A 25,139-nucleotide genomic window follows, 5' to 3' on the forward strand; every position below is an offset into this window, starting at 1 on the left:
GCCTAGTTCTGACTCCTCTACCACTAGAAGAGTGATCGTGGGTAGGCTACTTAATCTCTCTGAGCCTCAGTTTCCTCAGTTGTAAAATAGAATTGTCAGAAGCCAGAAAGAAAAAGTCACATATTATGTGATTCAATTCCTATGAACTATCCAGAATAGGCAAATCCCTACAGACTGAAAGTAAATTAGTGGTTTCCAGCAGCTGGGTGGGAGTGAATAATAATGAGCATGGAGTTTCTTTTGGAGGTGATGAAAATATTCTGGGATTAGATGGTTGGGATAGTTGCACAACATAATGAAGATACAAAAAAACCACTGAATTGTACACTTTAAAAGGATGAATTTGATTAATTTACTGTTATGTGAACTGTATGTCTATCTCAAAAGGGATCACAGGGAGCTTCTAGCGAGAATATTCATGTAAAGTACTTTACACAGTGTCTGACACATAGGAAGAACTCAATAAGTGTTGACTACTTCTAGGTGACCATATAATTTATGAACCTAACCTGGACACTTTAGAGGATAACAAGGGGCACTTGTAATAAGGATATTATCACAACAGGCATAAACCAGGCCTGTCTTGGACAAATCCTGGTGTGTGGTCACCTGGTGTTATGGTTTGGTTCTGTGTCCCCACCCAAATCTCATCTTGAATTATAATAATCCCCATGTGTCAAGGGCGGGACCAGATGAAGGTAATTGGATCATGGGCGAGGTTTCCCCCATACTGTTCTCATGATAGTGAGCGAGTCTCACAAGATCTGATGGTTTTATAAGTGCCTGGCATTTCCCCTGCTTGCACTCATTCTCTCTCCTGTAGCCCTGTGAAGAGGTGCCCGTCCGCCATGATTGTAAGTTTCCTGAGGCCTTCCCAGCCATGCGGAACTGTGAATCATTAAAGCTCTTTAAACAAATGTAAATTGCCCAGCCTCGGGTATTTCTTCATAGCAGTGTGAGAACAGGCTACACCTAGCTATTAGCATTTGCACCATCTGAGGGGTCTATTTTGACAAGGGCAATATTTATTTGAATATTCAAGATCTGCAATATTTAGAATCACACACATAACTATTGGTTTTCTCTCAGATAAACCAGTATCAGCTGATCATCTCTCCAGGTGGCAAGTAAATGAATTACCTTTTGGTCATTTTAACCCTCTGATTCCACATTTTCATAGGTAAGTCTCAGCCATAACAGCCATACACAAAAACAGAGACAGAGAACTGTTTCATCAGTCTTAACCTTCTCCTTAATAAACACTTTAAAAGTCAACGCCTCATCTCTCCTTTAGTATGCTTTTTACTCTATTGTTTATTGTATTTTTCGAGCTCTTTTGTTTTCCTGTTTGTAATTTTTATCTGCCCAAACTCTGGGCTTAATTTTCATGTGCCTGCCCTTTCCTTTCCTTTTTGTGTATGCCATTACCCTTTTGTGATCCTTTCTACTGTCCCTTCAATTCAACACAGATTATTGAGCACCTGCTCTGTGCCACATACTCTCCTCGGCTCCAGGGACACTGAGATGAACAAGACACAGGCATTACCACCAAGGAACACATAGGCTGGCAGAGAAGACAGGCACATCCATGGTTAATCACAGCAGTTTGAGCTAAGTGATTTTGTGGAGGGATGTATGCAGGGGGTAATGTGAGATCACCTAACCCATAAAGATGGGTGAGGGCGTAGTAGAAAGGATTCCTAACAGATGGGACATCTAAGCTGAGGTGTGAAGCAAGAATTGGAGTTAGCCAGCGGAAAGAAGAAGAGTGTTAGAGGCAGAAGAGATTAGAAAACCTGGTTTGAACAATGAAACTGCAAGCAGTTTGGTGTTGCTAAAGGAGAAAATGAGACCCTGGGGCTGGAAAAGTGGGCAGAAGTCATACCAAGGGGAGTTGTTGTGGCATGTGAAGCCATGTGCCTTGAAGGTGAGGTACAGGGTGGGGTTAGGAGTAGCTGGATGATATTCAGCAGGGACTTGACAAGGTCAGAGTTGTGTCTTAGAGACAGCAGCCTAAAAGTAGTTAGGGCACTGCTGCCCAAGCTGTAAAGTGCATATGAATCACCTGGGGATCTTGTTAAAATGCAGGTTCAGATTCTATAGATATGTGGTGAGGCCTGAGAATATACTTTTCTAACAAGCTACCAGGTGAGACCGATGCTGCTGGTCTGTGGGCTACACTTTGAGGAATGATGGTTTAAGGGATAGGTGGAGGAGGGGGTAAAACAGGTGACAGGTAGTCAGGTTGGGGCTGCTATAATTCAGGTGAGAGAAGATGGTAGCCTGGATTAAGACAGTGGTAGTGAGAATACAAAGAGGTAAAGATAGGAGAGATGGCTCTGTAATAGGTGCAGTTGGACTTGGGGAGGTTAAGAGAGAGAGAGTGTCCTAGAGATTCCTGGTATTCTCTTTGCAGGTCTTACAGGCTTGCTCCCCTTTTGCCTTCTGCTGGGATAAGGGTTTGCGTCCATCATCGCTGAGTTTAGGCTTCATTTTACCGTCTTTCATTCACCTTTATGCATCACTTTGCTCATCCTTGACATTTGTTTCTTTACCAATTGGCCCACAGACCACATGCACAACAAGGGGCTACCCAAGCAGCTTGCCTCACTTACTCTCCATCCCTTGTTACTGAATTCTCCCCACACCAACCTATCTGAGAGTGGGGATGCTCAGAACATTCCTCACCAATGTGTGCACATATTTGAACCCCTCCTTCAACACTCCGTAGCCTTTGCACAGGTCTGAAAAGAAAATCATGGCTTCTCATATCAAAAGCTTTCTGCTGGCATTAACTTATGAAATCTCCTTCTGACAACCTATTTTGTTCACCAGTTCCTTTTAAAGTCACCCACCTGGGCCACGCACAGTGGCTCATGTCTGTGATCTTAGAGCTTTGGAAGGCCAAGGCAAGAGAACTGCTTGAGGCCAGGAGTTCAAGAGCAGCCTGGGCAACATACTGAGACCCTGTCTCTATAAAAATTAAACAATTAGCTGGACATGGTGGTGCATCCCTGTAGTCCCAGTGACTCAGGAGGCTGAGGTGGGAGCCCAGGAGTTCAACTGCAATGAAATATGATCACATCACTGTACTCCAGCCTGGCCAACAAAGCAAGATTCTGTCTCAAATAAAAAGAAAAATAAATATAAAAATTTAAGTCCAGCACCTGGCATTTTCTTTTTTTAATTTTTTAATTTTGTTTTTAAATTTTTTATCTATTTATTTACTTATTTTGAGACTGAGTTATAAGACTGGCTAATTTTTGTATTTTTGGTAGAGATGAGCTTTCACCATGTTGCCCAGGCTGGTCTAGAACTCCTGAGTTCAAGCAATCCACCTGCTTCAGCTTCCCAAAGTGCTGGGACTATAGGCATGAGCCAGTGTGTCTGGCCAACCATCTGGTATTTTTCTTCTGGTCTTTTGGTGAACCTCAGAGCTTCTCCATGTATTATCCCTTTTGTAACTTACCCCAATCACCCACTCTGGCACTGGCCCAGAACCAGTTCCATCTATAATAGTATAAGCACATTGTCATTCAGCATATTTGTGGGGACAACTGTGAACTAGTTCCTTCTGGCTAATTTCCATCAGTCTTTTACTCTTCAAATCCTGAACTCCGAATAGCATTTTGGAAGCCAGAACCAAGCAGAACACTCCAGTGAGAGGATTGGACTTGTGTTAATTAGAACAGGAAGTATGGAGATAGTTCTGCATTTTGACACCATTTAGTGCAATTCTAGGCTAAGCATGTTTTCAGTTATGCTGATTTAATTTTAGCCATCTGGTGAAATCTTGGTCTGCACTCCTTCACCTCGACTGAGCTCTGTTTATAAACATCAATAGGTGTGCACCTTATTTACAGAGAGCTTAAACCCCTCTGAAGGTAAGCCTTTTTCTGCAGGCTACATCCAGGAATCTCAGAACTTCTTGAGGAATAAACCCTAGGAGGGATTCTTTTTAAAGACTGTTTTACTTTTCGGTAAAAATGCAAATGTTCTGACATTTTTTTAAAAGGCTCATATTTTACACCTATACCAATATAGGCAGCTGCAACAAGTTTTCTAGGAAATAAGCTGAACATAATTTGAAAGTTTGCACTCAGTAAATCACCTAGGGAACGAGGAAAGGGAGCTCCTTCAGGGCAGAGGCAGAAGAAATTCATTGACCAAACTGTAACCCTTCCTGGGGTTTTAACTCCTGGTAAAAGGAAAACTGCTAAGAGTGGTGAGAGGCTAATTACCAGGTAGCAGCGGTTCCTTCTAAAATGGAGTTCTCTGCAGGCAGTCTAACCTTTTAGCATCTGGTGGAGAGCAAGGTGCAGTTAGACACATCAAAGAACAAAGAATAAGTAGGAAGGAACCAAGGCCCTTTCCCTAGAGCCCACAGGACTCAGCAATAAACCCTGGAGGGAAGCACAGTTTGACTGGGTACTTAAGGTTTCCTGGTGGGGGTAAGCAGAGAGAACAAGCCTTTTAGATGCTTGTGCACGTGTGAAATTCGCACCAAATTACAACTGGTTTTTATTTTATTTCTGAAAACATAAAGCAGTTCAAAGTGCTGCATGTGTGAAAGATGGAAGGCTTAACGTTTCTTAGGATTAACTGCCCAGAAAGATTTCCGGCCCACGTGACTATCCTGGGGGGTCCTGGAGAATCAAGCTGAACAGCTGCCTGACCACCACCCCCTATATCCACAGCCATGTTGATGCCAACCAAACCAAGCTAGGAAGAGAACTCTGGAATCAGATAGCTAGTCCGGTACCTGATAGATGATACCTTCTGTCAGACACCTTTTCAAAGCTACAAGGAAGTGATTATATATAATTGCCTGAGGCCTTATGCAGGCCTGACAATGACCTGGACAGGTTGCATCTGATTCACATTCTTTGGTGAAGTAACTGGATGGAGTCTAAGAGACTCTCACTGCTCAGCGTTAACCTTCACACTAAGGGGGGCAGGGGTGAAGAAAAAGATTACCAGTAAGATTATCAGCCTAATAGCAATCTTGTCCCCACTCCTGGGACATTGAAATTATCATGCCTAAATTGGAAAGACTGTTGAAAAGTGACAGTGTAATAATAGCATTCTTAAGACAGTGCTCCCAAGTCTTATAGAAATTACTAGCTACTCTGGGTAATTAAAACAATTATAATTGTTTGTCTCCACATAACACTTTAACATTAAATCCATGTGGTGTGCATGATACACAACCAAATTCTAAATGGTACTTGGAATTATATTTTAACGTGAAATTGATTCTGTATATACCTAGCAATATGAGATACCCAGGACAAAACAGACCATTAGATATCATGTACTCCAAGCCCATCATTTTACAAGTGGGGAGATTTAGATCCAGAGCAGGTAAGAGACTTGCCTAGGATCTTTCAGCAGGTTAATGGCAGACCTGGGAGTGGAACCCAGGTCTTCTGGCCTCCAGCAATGGGCTCATTTCATTATGCCAGGCTCTCCTTAAATGTAAAGAGAAAACTATTATCTAGGTGGATGAATGATAAGAGAGAGATAAACAGCTAGAACTTGTTTTTTTCATTCATTTCTTCCTGTCATAGTCACTCTGTTTACCTCACTTTACATTTTTTAATTTACGTGGGTACATAGTAGTCGTATATATTTATGGGGTACAGGAGATGTTTTGATACAAGCATGCAATGTGAAATAAGCACATCATGGACAATAGGGTATCCATCCCCTCAAGCATTTATCCTTTGAGTTACAAACAATCCAATTACACTCTTTTAGTTATTTTAAAATGTACAATTAAGTTATTATTGACTATAGTCACCTTGTTGTGCTATCAAATAGCAGGTTTTATTCATTCTTCTATTTTTTTTTCTACTGATTAAACATCCCCACCTCCCCCCAAGTCTCCAACCCCCCACTACTCTTCCTAGCCTCTGGTAACCATGTTACCTGACTTTATTATCTTTTCTCACCTTTGGACTCTATCCTTGACTCACTTTTCCCACCTTCTGCTTATGACTTCAATGTTTCACCTTCTCCTTTAGCCTCCCTTTTCTCACTTGCTCCCCGAGTCTGTCTCTTTTGTTCCTAGAATCAGTTTTACTCCATTTAGAAACAGTGCTCACTATGTTGCCCAGCAGGGCTGTGAGCAGGTTGGAAGCCATGCTGTTCTGACAGGTTGTGAATTTCACAGAAACCCTATAAAGAAGTCATCAAGGTATAATGCCTTATAAAACATCTACTTACTAAGAGGCCATGAAAGCCAGCATATTAGGGTTACTGTGGGGAATCTGCATTGACTGAACAGAAAACCTTTTTAAATATATTCAGGAAACTATTCCAAACTAAATGGAATGGGGAGGCACATGTGGAATTTAGGGGTCCATTAAAGAAGTAGAATTTCAATGTATAAAATGCACACCAAAATGTTAAAATCTTGGTGGTAGGATTATACTTGAAATTTATTTTCTTCATTTGTTTACCGAATTTTCTCATCTATTTATAATGAACTTAGGTTCTATTGTTTTTGAAGCTGGATATAAAATTTTAAATTAAAAATATACAACCTCTATAGGATTCAAACTGATTAGCAAAAATGAGATGTCATGTGAGCTATCACTCAAGCTGATCTCCCTGTCCAGGAGTGTCTCATTTCCCATCCTTTCCACATCTCCACATTAGCCAGGTGTGCTTGCTTGTTGACACCTGTGGACTACACTAAGGGACCAGTTCTGCCCTACAGCAGGAAACATACAAGAGGCCCCTGCCTCAGTCTTGACTTGGCTTCTTGCCAAGCTCCACCTTTGCAGCAGTCACTTAGGACCTGTTATTTCACTCTTCTTTTTCTACCCACACATCTATCCAAGTTCCTAACCCTGATGTTCACCTAGTCTCTTCACTTGGGTTCCTGCTGTTTGATACTAACTTGGACTTACAATGGCAACCAGCTAGATTCCACTTAGGTCTGCTCTCTCCTTGACCGATCACCACATATGTCGTGCACACTGTAGGTGATTCTCAAAGATTTGTTGAACTTAACTCCTGGGACTGCTTACAGCTCAGCAGTGTAACTTAACTCCGGGGCCTGCTTACAGCTTTCTGCCCCTTTTCTTTTAGCCTACACCAGCCTGTAGTCATCCCAGTCCTAAGTGCTAACTCACACTTGTGAGCCTTGGAGTGACTTGAACTTGTAAGCCTAGTGATTGCAGATTCTTCTCAGTCTGGATTAGTCTGGGGCTGGCCCCAGATTTAAGGACCTCTGCCATCCTTTCTCCTCAAGGCTATTTAAATATGGTGGCTCTATTTTTAGGGTATGCAGCATAACTCAAAACAGTTGTCTGGAATTCTCTAATTGTACCCAGGTACAAGTACAGCCAAACCCAGGACATTTTTAATTTCATGCATTTCTTTTAAGTACTACACATCTAAAAGACTAATGTACAAGAGAGAAAGAGAAAGCATGGTTTAACTTTCTAAATGTAAAATTGTGGGAAACCTGAGAAGGGAGTAGTGGTAGGATTTGTAACTTATTAGCAATCTTTAATGGGAAACTACATCCCAAGGGATACTAACCTTTGTGTCTTAAAATTAGTTGTACACTCCCAATGCAAGATCTTCCAATATTTTTCTCCTTTAATTGCTTAGGTGGAATTATTTGTACAGAAGGATCTGGTTAAGCTGACTCATTGCTATTTAAAAATCAAAACCAAAGATATTCTTCCCTTCTCAATGTCGAATTTGACATTTGCTTTTCTCAACTTAGGAGGCTCTAGTCCACATTCCTCCAAATGCAGAAATGAATAAACAGGTTCACGGTGGCTTCCACAGAGAAACCTGAGGAGTCTTTGTAGATTCCTAGGAATAGAGATGACCTCTCATTTGTTATACTTTGGGGAAGTCTGAGGCAGGGCGTTTCTCATTTCTTCTGGCAACCCCATTTCGAATAGTCAGTGAGGGCATACTGTGACCACACAGTTTCACATGTGTGCAGGGCTGGTCCAGGAAAAAAATTATTACTCTAACACATGAAATGTTTGCACCACACCCCTCCCGACTTAACACTTAACTTCCTAGAATGTTTTATCGACTGACATTATATCAGCTAACTCATTGGAGCAAGGATTAGCTGCCTAGCAGCTGAGAGCAAGAACAGAATCCACTCTTACATTGATTTAACAGATATTTACTAAGCATCTATTATGTTTCAGAGTAAGCAGTAACTATTCAACAACTATTGCTTGCCTTCTCAAAGTTAAAGGAACTTACTGCATCCTTTTGGCCTCATAACCCCACCCACTGAGCTCCAAAGAATGACCTTTCTTTCTGGCCTCATGATTCTCAGATGCCACGTATTTTTCTAACCTTGTCCATTTCTCTGAACCGTTTCCATTTTCCATTTGTACATGAAAGCTCTCTCAGAGCTCTTACAAGGCCCACTTCACCAGCAACTGCTGACCCTGTTTTTTACTCAACCACTCCCAACACAAATAAGAGCCGTTTAAGATATAACATGCTGAGATACAGCAAACTAACACAGGAACAGAAAACCAAACACCGCATGTTCTCACTCATAAGTGGGAGCTGAACAATGAGAACACATGGACACAGGGAGAGGAACAACACACACTGGGGCCCGTCAGGGTTGGGGCCGGCGGAGGGAGAGCATCAGGATGAATTGTTAATGCATGTGGGGCTTAATACGTAGGTGATGGGTTGATGGGTGCAGTAAACCACCATGGCACACGTTTACCTATGTCACAAACCTGTCCGTTCTGCACATGTATCCCAGAACTTAAAATAAAATGAAATCTAAAAATACAATAAAATAAATAAAATAAAATGCTGAGATAACTGCAACATGGTGGTTCTTGAAGGACTAGCTTCAAAGAGTGGATGGAGTGGTCAAGTGCATGGGCTCTTAATCCAGCTTGCCCCTGTTCAAATCCTGTTTGCACCACTCACTGTTCTGTGACTTTGGGAAAGTTACTTCACCTCTTTCCAGTTAGCACATCTGTCAAATGGGAATATTGGTAGCACCTACTTCATTGAGGATTTCAATGAGCTGATACATGTAAAATATTTAGACTAGTGTCTGGCACATAATAAACATTCTGTTGATATATATTAGCTATTACCATTACTATTTAGGTTGGAAAAGAGTAATAATTGTAGGCTAGTAGGGAATGGGGTTGATATTTTGGAGCAAGTGCCTAGAACCTATACATATCACATAATGTGGCTATGAGCATCTGGGAAAGTGTGGCCCTGCCGTCATGAGAAGAACCCCCTCTTTTGATTGCTTATGCAGGTAGTGGATCATGTACAGCAACTGTTTTTATTTATTATTTTTAATGGATGAATAAAAATTATATGTATTTATCATGTACAACATGATGTTTTAAAATATGCAGATTATGCAATGGCTAAATCGAGGTAACGTGCTTTACCTCACATACTTATCATTGGAACTGTGTTTTCAATGAAGATTCTTTTATTGTTTTCTCTTTTTTTGTTTGTTTTTTTGGCCTCATTCCAAAAGCAATATATGCTTATTTAAAAAGCAGGGAACAAAAGAAACAGAAAAGCAAGAAGAAATAAGGTACTCCTAATCCCACCTATCAAGAGACAGCCAATCTAAGGATCACAGAGTAAAGCTCAATGCATGTGATGTAATAACACCTTTTGGTGACCAACTTTTTTAAAAAAATGTAGTATTATATTGTGAATATCATCATTAGTTACTGTTATATGAAACTACCTTGTTGGACATGTAAGTTGTTTTCTCCCTTGAGCTATTGCAAACAACACTAAAATAAACATCTTAGTACACAAAGATGTACATGTATCTTTACATAAAATTTTATTTCCTTAGGATACATTTTTCCAGAAACTGAATTTTCCCAGCTTATTTGGGGTACATTTTTGGTTGTCTTATTTTTGCTTGAGACTTTGAATTAAATACTAAAATGTCTAATAATTTTTTGTGTAAAACTTTAATTAAATACGGAAATATGAATACAAATTATGGGAAGGAATCGTGGCAGTGGTAGTTCTTGCTTGGTAAAGTAGTGAAAGAATTATATGAACCCAAACTGTGCATCAGAATTCCAGAGGCAGCAAACCATAGGGGAGAGAGTTGGGGATTGGAATGAACGCATCTACTTTTAATTCCTGACTCAAGTACTTACTTGCAGTTGTATGACCTTGAGCTCATATTTAACCTTGCTGAACCTTGATTTCTTTATTTGAAAAATCTTTTTTATGACTTTGTGTTGCAGAATTTTGCTCCTTAGTTCAGCTAAAACCAGGTTCTTGTCACACGACCAGGAAAATTTAGGCACGCAGACGCATTGAAGAGTGAGTAGGGCAGGATTTTATTGGGCAAAAAAGGGAAAAAAGAAAAAAAAAAACTCAGCAAAGGGAGATGGAGCTCTTGCTAATAGGTCCCTGACCTCACAGATTGAATCCCAGGCCACCACACAGGAACTGGAGGCCAAGCTCCTCCCCCTGCCCATGGCTCCACCCTGTTCTCCCAGTGCGCATGTGGGCATGCTCAGACAAGGCACTGGGCAGGTTCCCCCATCTGCACAAAAGCATCTGATGTAAACACTTGTGGAGTGGGCCAGAGATTCTCTGGGGACCCCTTTTTATCTGCCTGGGCATTTAGCTGTCTCATCAGTTCCTGCTTGTCTCTCCTGTCTCAGCCCTCAGTCTCTCATCGCTCTCTCTCAGTCCCCTCTGCCCTCAAGTTTAAGATTCAATCAGATTAACCTACTCCACAGGCCTTTTCCTGCTTCTCCCTTTGTCTGGACCAACCTTCATCTCTGCTCCCCCACAGCCCCCCAACTCCCCAACACATACCTAAATAATTAGTACTGGCTATCTGGGGTTCAGATTAGACATCACCTTCCTTAGAAAAACCTTGCCTGTCCGTCCCCTCCACATACACACTTCAATCTAGGTTAGATGCCCCTCTTTTGCTGTGCTAGAAAAAAAAATTATCCTTTCCACTGTCATTTGTACACATCACACCATAATATACATACCTGCTTATATCTCTGATTCTTCCCCTAGCCCATGATCTCTTTGAGATTAGGTACTATTTCTCATTCATCTCTGCATCCTCAATAGCCAACACAGTGTGTGGATTCAGTGAGGACTTGTTAAGTGAGTGATGAATGAATGAAGGAGCATAATCATACCTATTTCACAGACGTATTAAGTAATGATTGTATGAAATAATGTAAGTGGAAGTTCCTGGCATGCAGCTAGGTCAGGAAATGAAATCTCATAGCATTAAAGGCAATTGACAGTAACTTTGTCACAGATCTCTTACAATCACTTAAAATGTTCTGAGTGTGAAGTTCTGGAGAATCTTTGTCTTTTTAAAAGTCTGTTGAAAGGTGAATTTCGTCATCATAGAAGGAATCTCAGAGGACAAAGGACCTCTTGTTTAAGACAACTAAGCCCAGCGATTAGTGGTGAAGCGCCATGCCTAAGTGCTTCCAGGGCCTGGGGTCAGCTCACCCAGCCAAACCTCCCCTTTCTGGCCCCACACCTTGGACCCAGAAGAGGAGGAAGTGGGTAAAGAGGCTGAGAAGGAATACAGAAAAAGGGGCTGAAATTAGATGATGTGGGGGTAATAATTGTAGCTTTTGCACAGCAGCTGTGTTTAGAACCAGGCAAGCTATATACATCAGAGAGTTCCGCAGCCCCCAGAAAAATGTTCCTCGGAACGCCTATCACCTTTCATTCTTCCTGAGCTTTGTAGCCTTCAGCAGGTCTTCTCAGTGGTGCCTTGCCCTAGCACCTCATTGGCCAGCTCGGCACTACCTCCTGGGGTGTAAATGAACTGTTAAGGGTGGTTCTCTCAGCAGTAGAACTGGTCTCACGGAATGTTTTTCCAGTTCTGACAGTCTGGCACAAAGCTGCTAAGAGGCACCTAGTATCACAAAAGCTAGGCACTGCTCCCTGCTGCTGGGCTGGCAGTCTCCAGGCTCTTTTAGGAAATGACTGGGCCAGTCCAGCCGCCTCCCAGATGATTTTCCCCCTCAGGCCATGCCCTTTTGACCCCAAGACAATTTGGACTCAGCTCAGTCAGTTTGAAGAATTTCTCCAAGTTGCAACTGACAGCTTCATTGTCCTAAGGCACAAATTAAAGTTAAGCCTTTATTAGAGTAATACATTTGTGTTTGTGACAGGTCAAAACAATGATGCAAATGCAGGGTATTTAAAAGCGGGAGAGAGAAACTCCTATAGAATTCAGAGGAATCATCTCTGGCGAGTCTAATTCGGAGGGAAGATCTGCAGATCGTTCTGGCTGCAGGGCAGTGAACCAACTTCTGCTACTCCTCCCCAGCACCAGGCAGCAGGCAGGCCTGCCCTGCGATGAAAGGTGAAGAGGCGGCAAGGCCCCGACTAACTGAAATTTTCCACAGAGATTCCCACGAGTGCAGACTTGAACAAACAGCCAAACGCCACCCACCTATAGCTCCAAAGCCAGTTCCCCAATCTCTTCCGCCATGGCCTCAAATGTTTTTGCGTTCGGGTTCCCTCCTCCTTTCAGCTGTGGGGATGGGAAGCCAAGGGGCAGGTAGGAGTGGGAGTGGGAAGGCTGGAGGCCCTGCCTTTGCTCTGAACTGGAGCAGGAAAGCAGCCTGGAAGCCATGTGACAGCAGGAGATGTGGGGCTCCCAGAGGGTGGGGCAGGCAGCACCCAAACCATGCTTGACCCACTGCTCAGCCTGGCCTGGGGCCAGAGAAAGCACAAGCACTTTTTTTCAGTTCAATTTATTCTCCAAAGCAACAAACCTCAGGATATGAACGACAGAGGAAGTTCAGTTTAAACAAAGGCATTCACCAAGCAGTATGGGTCCCCTGCAATGACAAATGAATCCCTGGCAAAGGGACAGCCAACATTGGCTAGATTGGAACGTTATGATTCCAGGATGATCTTTCTGACCTGGGTTTAGAAGCTCCTTCACTTGGCTTTCTTTGTACAGGCACGGGGTGGTGGTGAGCTGATCTGCTCAGTCTGTTGGTCAGTCTATCAACAAACATCGATTGATCCCACCTAGCATGGGGCAGGCTGTTTAGGCAGGCTGCTTGTGATGTATCTGCTAGAGGATACATCATAAAGTTCTGGAAAACCAGGAAGTTTCACTGCATATACAGAAATCACGCTTGAGTCAGAAGCCTACCATCTAATCAATGTCCAGACAGGATTTTGAAGCCAGACAAAGTGGGGCTTGAATCCCAGCTCACCTGTTAACTTAAATAGCCATATGACTTTGGGTAAGTCAACCTCTCTGTGCCTCAGTTCACATACTCATAAAATAGAGATAAACATAATATTTTAGGCCTAGTCAGCTTGGAGTATTACTGCTTGGACATAAGAAGCAGGACATGTGTTCACCATCTAAAATTGGAGTGAATTCCATGAGGCATGAGTGTAGCAAACACTTATATAGCACTTTCTAGTACTAGTCTGAGTGTTTTACATATATTAATTCATTTAACCTTTGTTAGGACCCTATGGAGCAGGTACTAATATTATCCCCATTTTATAGATTAAAAAAAAAAACCCAAGGCACAGAGAAGTTATATAAAAACCCTAGTCAGTGACACTTATTTGATGTGCATGAGACTTATGTAAGGTAGTGCATGGGAAATACATCTAGAAAATTGTTGATAAATGCTATTTGTGATTATTATTCAGTAATATTATTGTTATTATTATTAACTGTATTACCCTAACTGTGAATAATGACCATGGAACAATTTAGAATGTAGTAAAATGCAAAGGGTTTGGCTATTTCCATCTGCTTCCTTAAAGGAAGCCCTACATTATTTTAGGTAACTCTAGGGAGTTCTTATGGACCCTTCCAGGATTAATGACTCCAAAGGGAAGAGCAAATCTCTTGGGGCTGCTGAGTAAACAGAGGCCAAAGCATGCAAAAAGGCAGGGTAAATTAACCCTACAGGAAGCGCAGAAATGGGGGAGCACAGCTCTATTACCTGGAGGTGGGTTGCAAAATCAAGCATCATCAAAAGAAAGTCCAGTTGAAAGTGAAAGACTGTTCTTTGTTGGTTTGCAAAGTACAGAAATAAGGAGGTCTGTAAGCCAGGGAGAGGGGAATTAACAAATTTGAGCACCCGCTTTGTGTCAGGAACCTTATCCCTGATATCTCATTTATCATGACAATGATCTCATGAGGTAGATGCTAGGATCATCTCCACTTTAGTGATAAGGGCACATCCTCAGAGAGCTGAAGTGACCCACCTGAAGTCTCACACCTTCAAATTGTTGGGGTTTGGTCTAGAATTCAGGTCTGCCCTACTCCAGATGTATTTTTCCTTCCATAATCCCATCTATAAATCTCAAACAAAACCAATCATTATCCCTTCTAAACTTGCTCCTTCTATTCTGTTCTCTATCTTGGTGAATGGGGCCATCATCCCACCAGCCACTTAAGCTAGAAACTTGAAGGTCATTTAGATCCTTTCTCACATATCTCCCATATCCAAAAGTGTGGCATCAAATGGTTCTAGAAATTCTACCTCATTAGCATGTCTTTTATTCATCCTTCCTGTCTGTCTTCACCATTGACGAAGTTCAGAACCCTAGTAGGCTGCAATATCGATGTTTGGGCATATGTGTTTGGATATAGTTTGACCCTCTAAAATTGGATCCACTAAACTTGATGGTAACATTCAGATTCTACCTGGCATCTCTAGCACTTAGAACATATTTTTATTAAATATAGTCTGAATGAATAAATGCATAAATTAATGCATGATGAGCAGAGGCTAATGTCCCCACTTTTAAACCCTTCAGTGGTCTCTGCCACCTTCAGGATAAAGACCACACTTCTCACACTTCTTCACATATAGAATACATTGCCTGAAAGGTCTAGCTGCCAACCTCTTCTTCAACTTTGACCTCCAGTCACTGCCATTTTCCTTTCAATACTCCATTCTTCACTTAGATTGACCCTTTTGTTCTGTGAAAGGACCATGTTCTCTTGAATATTGGCCTTCGTTCTTCCCTTTGTGTAGATCACCATACTTCCCCCACAATCTACCTCTCGATCTTCACCTTCTTAACTCCTACTCAGCAACTTAAATGGTTTGTTCTTCTGGAAGTTTTTCCTGGCACCCCAAGTCTAGGATTTACAGTTGACAGAACTAAGGCTCAAATAGCCTAAGTGACTTACCCACGGCTCCACAGCTTGTCAGTGGCAGAGTCAAATCTATCCTGGTTTATCAGACTCCAAATATACATTACCTAATTTGTATTACTCCTCGCAACAACTCAGCAAGCTAAGGGGATAAGTGATTAGTCCAAGATTACATAGCTAAAGTGGTGGGTTTTTTGGTAGTTTTTGTAGTCCCAAATCCAGGTACCTTCTATTACACCAAAGCAATTTCATATCATTGAAGTTGGAAGAACTTTGCCTTATGAAGTGACAGAATCAGTTATCTATTTCACTGTTGACTAAACTACAAAAGATCCTTCATCATCGCAAATTTAAAAACCAACCCCTGGGCAAACATCCCAAGGGTAAATTCCACCACTAATAAATTTAAAAATCACTGTGCTTTGCTTTCCTACTTAACTTGAACAGTGTTCGGTCCTGGCACTGCCTCTCTGTCTCTTTCCAAAAATGAGGCCTAGTGGCCTTTATCATGGGCTCCCAAGGGAATCAGGTGAGCTAACTTACTATATTCTGTTACTGGGTACCCACTGCATGGCCAGTACAATCACTTAGCAATCAGGTAAATGTGAAAGTAGAGATGTTTTAACATCTCGTTTTGACTTTAGTCTCCAGAAACCATCAAAGTGAAACATCATTTTGGAAATTCAGAAATAACAGCTTTTACAAAGACAGAAATGCAGCAGGCAAAAAGGGATATCAGATAGAACTGTGTCAAATACGGTGATGGGATGACCATTTTGTACAACTCTCTATGTAACCTGAGATGAGCAAACAAGAGGTTGCTCTCCAAAGGCACTCATCACTACTACTGTGTGTGAGAGTGTGTGCACACATGCATGTGCATGTGTGTATATTGAAGAGATTGATAGTCAAGCTAGAAACTTGACCCTCTATTGTTTCTAATATCTCACAAAGCTTTAACTTTGGTCTTATCTTCCTTTTTTCCTTCAAGAAAAGTTCTAGTCTCCATGTTGAAGAAGCAAAACCAAATATACAATAAAACCTGCAATTAATTTGTAAATCATGACCTTATTCAATTTTTAGTCTCACTCACCCACTCCCATCATCATTCTAGAGAGCCTTCCTTGACAGTCTAAAGATAAGCTGTCCGTTGTAAGATCAGCCCTAAGAATAATGCTAATATTTGACAATGATCAGTTTATGAAATAAATATGAGGGCTTGAAAAGTAAGATGACATTTTCACTAAATTCATTTTCTTCATTGGATTGTACTTTAGTAGGCACATTCTAGCAATTGTGAAGTCCCATAACCTATCCTGCACCCCTAAACACTATTGGAAGTTCATGAAAGAAAAGGTTGACTAATATTTTCAGAGAATTTATCTATAAAATCAACACCAAGTGACTCAGAGCACAAATATGCAAAGAAACCTCAGGAAAACAAGATGTATTTGGGAGCAGCCACTCTTTCTAATAAACTAACTGAAAGTATTAACAAGTTAAAAACAGTAGGATGATCAGAAAGCGGAGTTGTCAATCATGCAATGACAGAAAAAGGAATAACCAAGGCCAAAATTGGTAGCATCCAGGCAGTATGTCCAGGCCAGAGTGTGCTCTTGCTCACGAACTTTACCTACCAATATAGCAGAGTCTACTGTTCCCAGAACTGGGCCTGGGACATATTAGGTCCTCAATAATAATTTGTTAACTAAATGAGTTAATTAATGAATACGTGACTAAAAGGTCTCAATGCCATGGCCTCTGTGGACACAGATGCATTACCAAGCCATCGAATATTAGGATCATATATCTAATTCTTCCAGATCTGGCTCTTCTGACATCATTTGGCATATAAATGATGAGAGGACCCCAGTGTCCCCAATCCCACTGTAAATGGTGACACTAGCATTCTAATTTTAAATGTCAGTCTCTGACTCCAGTTCTTGTGGAGTAGTGACAAAACAGGCTTCTTAGTCAGGAGGCCTGAGTTAGACCTTGGACACTGGCAAATTCAGGAAGATAATAGTACTGGGGGTGGAGAAAGGGTTCTGGATGTCAATGAGCTTTCTCCAGGTGACATTATTTTATCTGATCATGTGTCCTTTTTATATTTCTACCACTGCACTTTCTATAAAATCAACACCAATACCCAAGAGTCCACTATGTTCCCTTATGCAACCAATTATTTTCTTGAATCTTATCTTGAAGGACAATTTTCCCTGGTTATGATCCATGCCTCTTGAGATTTCAGTTTAGTATCAAAAGGTCCTCCATGTGGCCTTCCTCAGCTATCAATGGGTTCTCTTCATTATGGTTCCAAGCATTTCTTCATCAAATTTGGAATGTTAGTACTAATAAAATAGAGCATTCTTTAGGTTGCTTTTTTAAGTGTTTGAATAGGTGAAAAGATTCACACCATTGTCTCCCTGACCTTGAGGGAACACTGTCCCACATAATTCTTCAACCATGATTAAGAAAAGAAGGGTCTACTAACTGGTTCACAATAGTCATCAAAAGCTCACTGTGTGCCAAGTTCTATGCCTTGTGAGGTCATCAGAAAATAAATAATGTGCATCGGCAATACTGAAGGCTACTGACAGATGAGTCTACTGTTTACAATTGTATATGAAGGAGAGGGGAGAGTTCTGGATTGGAAGTCCAGCTCTGCAATTATATGCTGTGTGATTGTGCACACGTCACTTAAGTTCCCTGAGCCTCCATCTTTTAACTTACAAAATGGGAAAAGATCTTTTCCCTACCTTCACTCACAAGGCTGAATGGAAGATCAAATGAACTAATGGATGTGAAAGTGCTTTGTAAATTTTAAAGTGCTATCCACAGATGACTCACTACTGCTATCATCATCATCACCACCATTATCATCATCATCACTATCATCATCATCATCATCATCATCAATCTATTATTGTTAAGCAGAGAAGGTACTATTGGATGATTGAATGCTAACTTAAGCTTCTAACTCCTCTGGACAAAGCCACTCACAGTACTGCAGCCAATGCTATTGCCTCTCTGGGTAACACCATGGTTGCTACTTACAAAGCATTCTTCCACAGAGCAAAAGGGATCACATGCTTTGACACCTGAATTGCTGGGTATCAAATCTCTCCCATTATCTTTCCAAGGAACACAATGTGTTGCAGCTGGAAAGAGACAGTTTGACTTGAAGCCAAATCAAGTCTTCTAGTTGCTGGAAGTGGCTCTTCCGTAGGTGAATTTTGTGAAGATATGGTACTGTGTTCCTTACCCACCCTCCACCCCATTTAAATGGATCTGAATTAGACTGCACATTCAACAAACTCTTCTGTCACTTTTTGTCAAAGATTTCTCTTTGAGTTCCTTGAAATATCTATTAAAAACTTAGCCTAAAGCAATATCTTTTGAATACCCAGCTCACTAATTCAGGTACTGCAGCACTGTGAGCATACACCACCAGTCTGCAAATGGATAAACTACTCAAAAGATATTTTCCACCCCTTAAATATAGTTCCAAGAAAGAATAGGAAATGCCTCATACCTCTAATGGAAGCTATTTGCTACAAAAACAAATCATTCAGGTCCGTGGAACTAGAAATGCCTTTTGCGCATAAAACTGAAAGGAAGAGACAGCAAAACAGCAGATGAAGACATGAAGTCATCACTCACAAAGCACATGATTCAAATAAAAATAAAATACTCATTGGAAAAATGGGCTACCCACACACACAACATCATGGCTGAGCCACAGCAGTTGTCAGTTTATGTATAAAAGAAAAAAACCAACATTTTGTATGAATTTCAGAGAAAATAAACTATTTGTCTCTTGTTAGTGGCTAATGTAAATATCAGAGCAAATAGCATTTTTGGTTCCAATAAAAATGTAGAACTTTTCAAAATGCTCATACATAAATCCTGACATCAAAATGTACATATCTTAAGATGTTGGAACATGAGCACCAAATGATGTGCTTAATACATTTGTTCTTTCTTGAAGAGATGAGGTATAATTGTATGCAATCATCTTGTAGCTAGGAATTTATTAAGAACTCTGAACTATAAGTACTAAATCAAACTAAATAGTCTCTTATCCTATTTTTCTCTCTCATACTTGTCATTCCTTCCTGAAGTTCTCATTACAACTACATAATTCTACCCCTTATAACCCATAGGTTTTCTTCAGAAAAGGAGGATAGCTTCCCCCACTCCTTTCCCTCAGAACAACAGTTTTCTCCCCACAAATGCTCATGGGGTGAGACCCACAGACATAATTTCAATGAACAACAATACCTTATTGGGTAAAAGAACTAGTTTATTGCTGCTTTACTTTTTGCAAATAGTTATCCTGTCTTTAAAATTTGCTATTGTTGTCCCTTGAGAAAAGACAACTTGTTCTAAGAGAAAGGTTAATGGAAAAATATGAACTACATTGTGATGTTAAATACAGATTATTTTTCCAAAGCTAAAAATCACAGTCCTCCTTCATTCAGTCCTAAAGAAGACATAACATTGCTCTCTAATGGGCTGTTCACAAATGACAATTATTGAATGAATAATAAAGGAATAATAGCAATGTGATTTCCACTTACATCAACCACAAAAATCTTCTGGGAATCATCCAAAAACTGCACTTTTAAATGTAGCATTCTCAGCGAGGCCGTTGGGCTGCAAGCAGGCTCAGAGTGCTGTGGGTGCTTTCTCCAGGAATTTCACTCCCAGCTGGATGTGGTGCACTCGGGCCCCCCCACCCCCAGCCAGGCATTCCCACTGTCAGCGGGGCACACTTCCGTTTGCTTGAAGTAATGCACACCCAAGGGCATTTGTGCTGCCAAGTGCAGGGGATCAATAGCATCTGGGCAGTCTCCTGTTTGGTCAATATCAAATCTAACTGGACTTCCTCTAGCCTTCTTAAACTCAGCTCCTTTCTTCAAAGAAAAATATAAAGAAAGCAAGCATTTGTGGTCCCTGGGGATTTTCTTTATTTCACAAGGGCACAATTTGAAAACCCTAGATCAAGCTTTAATAAACTGAGAATAGCCATTCTCAAAAGTAAAAAGATTCAAGTTAATCTCAAATTGTACTAGAAATTTCATGGCCAAGCTAGGAAGCATCTATCTATCTATCTATCTATCTATCTATCTATCTATCTATCTATCTATGCTTATATATATCTATATATAATTATATAGATATAATATATCCATATATAATTATATAGATATAATATATCCATATATAATTATATAGATATAATATATCCATATAATTGCTATTATATAGAAACATATATAATATAAAATTATGCATAATTTTAATTATCTGAATTCACATGATTTAGAAATAAAAACTATATAAAAAGGTATATAGAAAACTTCACTTCCACTCCTGTTCCCTCTTTTCTGTGTTCCCAATACACCCCTATTGGTAACCAATTTTTTTTCTTTCTATTCCCATAGAATTTATGTGCTTACATCTATAAAGAAATGAAACAAGGAATACAACTAAGGTCGAACCCCATCTCAGCTGTAAATAACATTCATGTATTCTTGGATAAATGAACTAATTAGGATAAAGAACGTTCTAATAAAACAGTCATCAAAGAATTACATTAATATCATTTTCATTATATAACAATAATTACGATGACATTTATTCTGGACTGAGATAACACTTAAGGCAAGAACTAAGAAAACTTACCTCCATTTGTATTTTTTGTTGACAAGAAGATAATGGGTGAATGATTAAAAGATGCCAAGCACAGTAGATTACATTACGATAGGATTCTTGGCTGAAAGTGGTATGAAAATATAGAAGAAGAAAAGCCAATTTAAAATGTTCAACTACTAAAGAACTAGCTCGTTTATTTTTATAAATGAATAAAGGGTGTCAAATTGTTGTGATATTTAAATTGTACCGGATATGTTTAAAATAGTGATGTAACAGTTTTTATTTTAAAATACCAATATTTATATGACACCAGCAAACACATACTTTGTCAAGTATTTAACTTCCCATGAAAAATTTTAGATGTCAACTTAGATGGGTGAGGGGACACATGATTTTTCAAAATACTTTTGGGGGTCACATGAGCAGAATACTTTGTGGACCACTGCTTTAAAACACTATTTCTCTAAGTACGGTTGAGGGACCAACTTACAGAATCACCTGGGAAGGGTGGCTGACTTTTTAAAAATGCCGATACCTGAACCCCATCCCCAAATTGGGTTGTTAGGTTTGGGGTGGACCCCAAATAGATCAATTTTCAACATGCACTCCAAGTGGCTCTCATGCAAACCATTTAAGAAGCACTACTTAAAAAATAAAAACTAGCATTTTACAGTATTATAGCCATGGCTGAAGAGGGAAACAACCTCACATACATACCTGGACTGAGGATAGAATTGAAATAAAAGCTAAACAAGAGCCGGAGCTCTCAAAATAGCAGCACCCGTGGAGGAGGCTAGAAATAGGAAAAGGTCACCAGGGAAGGAAGGCACTTTTCCTGGAATTCCTAGTACAATCAAAGAATAGAATGGGAATGGAAGGGCTTAGGCAGGCTAAGCCCACTGTGGGCTTTCCACTGTGGTTGCACTTTGGGAGAAAACAGAAGAAAGTCCTTTCCCATCTTGAACCAGCCTGAGGAAAGCCCGTGTTTAGGAGGGTCGACCGTCACACCAAAACAAAACATGCCCTAACAGAAGCTGATTGCAAAGCAGGTGACAGAGAACACTTTGGGAAGCACTGCTGGAGGCTGGCAGAGGGGTAGTTGCCATGAAAATGCCCTTGAGAGCCTCTGAGAACACTGTTGGGATGGTTGAGGCACCTGTTCCCTTTTGGTCCCACCGGTGGCCTAAAATGTGGTCTCGGAGTACTTGTCGTCTGCCTGCTCACTGGGTGGAGCTTGCCAGCATCTGTTCTTTCTTCCTAGGATCACAGAAGAACTGCAGCTTCCTGGGGAGCAGTTTCACTTCCACAGGCATCGCTTCATACTCCTCACTGTCAATGCTAAAAGAGCTCCCTGCTCCCTTGGGGACAAGCAAAGTGTACTGGCTGGCTTGGAGACACTCCATGCCCTCAGTGTCCAGCTTGGCTTTTCTCACCTTTAGGCTTCCTATAGTTATAAAGCCTCCTTTGCTGACGGTGTCGGCTTCAATGCAGATGTTCATAAAATCTTTGCATGTTCGGTCAAGCTGATTGTTCCGTGTTGTGATGGACAGTTCAATGGTGGACAACTGCACATCTTTCCAGACCTCTCGGCTCACCTCTTGGGAAAGGGCATCCTGTGGTTGTGCCCAGTAAGATGCAAGCCTCCGTAATATTCTCCTGTACAAAGAAGGCCTTCGTACAGGGGTCTCCTCTGGTTCATTGGCAGGTCTCTCTGTAGGTCCTGTATACAAGATAGAAGTTTCATGAGTCTGAGGCCACTCCTTAAGAGTGCTGAAAAAGTGGGCTGCTTTGATTTTTAGAGACCCAAGATATCAGTACCTGCTAACTTTGATGCCAGCATCTCTGAGGGATCCCCACCAAAGGCCAGTCATTGCAAACACAGGCTGTTCCTTTTCACCCTTGATCTGCAAGACGTCAAATGGAACTGTCTCTCTGTTCACAATGGCAAGTGTAGCATCAGTAATATGTTGGACTCTGTTTCCACTTTCAGTAAAGAGGTTATGATTCAAACTACTGGTCTGTCCCAGTGGGATAAATCCAATGGGAATCTTACTGAAGGTAGCCTCATCTGTTCATCGAAGAACTCCAGTAACAACCTCCTGCAGTGTCCCATCTCCTCCTGTAACAATGATCACATATGTGTTTTCTATCAGTTCCAGGAATTTCTTGGCTTGTCCCTCATAATCTGTCTTAACACTAGTCACACCTATGCTGGGATAAATGTAAAATCGGGGCAGCATTTTTTTCAAATAGAATCCTGGCTTTGCCTTTGCAAGCTGCAGGATTGAGAAAAACAGTTTCCTTCTTCACTTGTGCATTGGGAGGAATGAGTTGATTGCCAAACACCTGAGCTTCTTCACAGGCTGCTCTCCTTAGTAGGTTATCACAGTGTTTTCCATAGAGCCACTGGCCTCCCCAGGTCAGCAGGAAGAGCCCAGCTGTAGTTTTCTTCCAATGATTTTGAAGTGTTTTAAAGAACACCGTCATCTTCTAGAGATTTGCATGGCTGGTCCCACTCAATAACCACTTTTATTAGCGTTTTGTTGTAGTTGTTCAGCCTTCAGTGTTTCCTTATGCAAATTTTATACAAGCAAATACAAATATATATATATATCCTATGTAGGTAGCATACTAGTATTACACTGTTTTGTGCATTCTTTTTCCTCATTTATCATGGAGATCTGCCCTTACCTGTGCATGGAGAACTTCCTCATTTCTTTTCACAGCTGCATAATTTTGCACTGTGTAGACAAACCAAAGTTCACTCAGCCAGTCTGAAATTAATATTTCAGCCTCAACAAGACTGAAATGAATATCTTCATACATATGTCAATTTATATGTGTGCAGATATATCTGTAGGATAGATTTCCAGAAGTAGAGTTGCTGGTCAAGGATAATGAATTGGTAGTCATGATAGCTATATTTCCTTCCATAAGGGTTAGTATGGGTTGAATTGTGACCCATAAAATTCATACATTGAAGTCCTGAGCCCTAGTAACTCAGAATGTGACTGCATTAGGAGAGAGGGTCTCTAAAGAAGTAATTAAGTTGAAATGAGGTCATTAGGGTGGGTCGTAATCCAGTTTGACTGGTGTCCTTATTAAAAGAGAGTAGGACACAGACATGTAGAGAGGGAAGACAACATGAAGACACATAGAGGAGAAGATGTACATCTATGAGCCATGGAGAGAGGTGTCAGAAGAAACCAGTCCTGCCAACACCTTGATCTCAGACTTCTAGCCTGCAGAATGGTGAGAAAATAACTTTCTGTTGTTTAAGCCACCCGGTCTGTGATATTTCATATGGCAGCCCTACCAAACTAATAAAGGTTGTGCTACATTGCAGTCCCATTAGTAATATATGAGAGTGACTGTTTTCTATACAGGCTTGACAGTGGAGTATCGAACTTTTGAATGTTTACCAAACTGATAGGTGAGAAAAAAAATCTTGGTGTACTTTTCATATTATGAGAGAAGTCAAGCATCTTTTCATATGTTTAAGGGCCATTACTTTTTTTTTTTTTTGAGATGGAGTCTCGCTCTGTCTCCCAGGCTGGAGTGCAGTGGTGCGATCTTGGTTCCCTGCAGCCTCCACCTCCCGGGTTCAAGTGACTCTCCTGCCTCAGCCTCCCAAGTAGCTGGGAATACAGCCATGTGCCACCGCACTCCACTAGTTTTTTTTTTTTTTTTTTTTTTTTGTATTTTTAGCAGAGATGGGGGTTCCACCATTTTGGCCAGGCTGGTCTGGAACTCCTGACCTCACGTGATCTGCCCGCCTCAGCCTCTCAAAGTTCTGGGATTACAGGTGTGAGCCACCGTGCCTGGCCCCAGTGCCATTACATTTATATTAATTTCTTTTTTGTGTGGATTTCTTTTATTGTGAAAGATGTGTTCATTTACTTCGACATTCCATTTTATTTTTCTTATTTAAAAGATTTTGTATAGCCCAGCATGAGCGACGCAGAAGACGGATGATTTCTGCATTTCCATCTGAGGTACCGGGTTCATCTCACTAGGGAGTGCCAGACAGTGGGCGCAGGTCAGTGGGTGTGTGCACCGTGTGCGAGCCGAAGCAGGGCGAGGCATTGCCTCACTCGGGAAGCACAAGGGATCAGGGAGTTCCCTTTCCTAGTCAAAGAAAGTGGTGACAGACGGCACCTGGAAAATCAGGTCACTCCCACCCGAATACTGCGCTTTTCTGACTGGCTTAAAAAACTGCACACCAGGAGATTATATCCTGCACCTGGCTCAGAGGGTCCTACGCCCACGGAGTCTCGCTGATTGCTAGCACAGCAGTCTGAGATCAAACTGCAAGGCG

General features: G+C 41.0%; 1 protein-coding gene and 1 pseudogene across 3 annotated transcripts in view, besides 1 other annotated feature; both read right to left on the reverse strand.

Moving 5' to 3' along the window:
* The window catches only part of FRMD7 (FERM domain containing 7), a 51,031-nt gene extending 31,055 nt beyond the window's left edge, over nucleotides 1–19,976 (reverse strand). For all 3 annotated transcript variants that reach the window (XM_017029948.3, NM_001306193.2, NM_194277.3), the window contains exon 1: nucleotides 19,744–19,976. In XM_017029948.3, coding sequence (XP_016885437.1) covers nucleotides 19,744–19,772 — 29 coding nt within the window. In that variant the 5' untranslated portion in view covers nucleotides 19,773–19,976. The remainder of the gene's footprint in view (nucleotides 1–19,743) is intronic.
* Nucleotides 11,135–12,070: an enhancer, noted in NCBI's record as "NANOG-H3K27ac-H3K4me1 hESC enhancer chrX:131253207-131254142 (GRCh37/hg19 assembly coordinates)". NCBI's record gives its function as "activates a minimal SCP1, AML or CMV promoter by ChIP-STARR-seq in naive H9 embryonic stem cells {active_cell/tissue: H9 hESC(naive)}" and the evidence as "EXISTENCE:reporter gene assay evidence [ECO:0000049][PMID:30033119]".
* AGKP2 (AGK pseudogene 2) lies at nucleotides 22,265–23,339 on the reverse strand (annotated as a pseudogene).

Source organism: Homo sapiens, chromosome X (genome assembly GCF_000001405.40).
Source record: "Homo sapiens chromosome X, GRCh38.p14 Primary Assembly".
NCBI classification, from domain to species: Eukaryota; Metazoa; Chordata; class Mammalia; order Primates; family Hominidae; genus Homo; species Homo sapiens.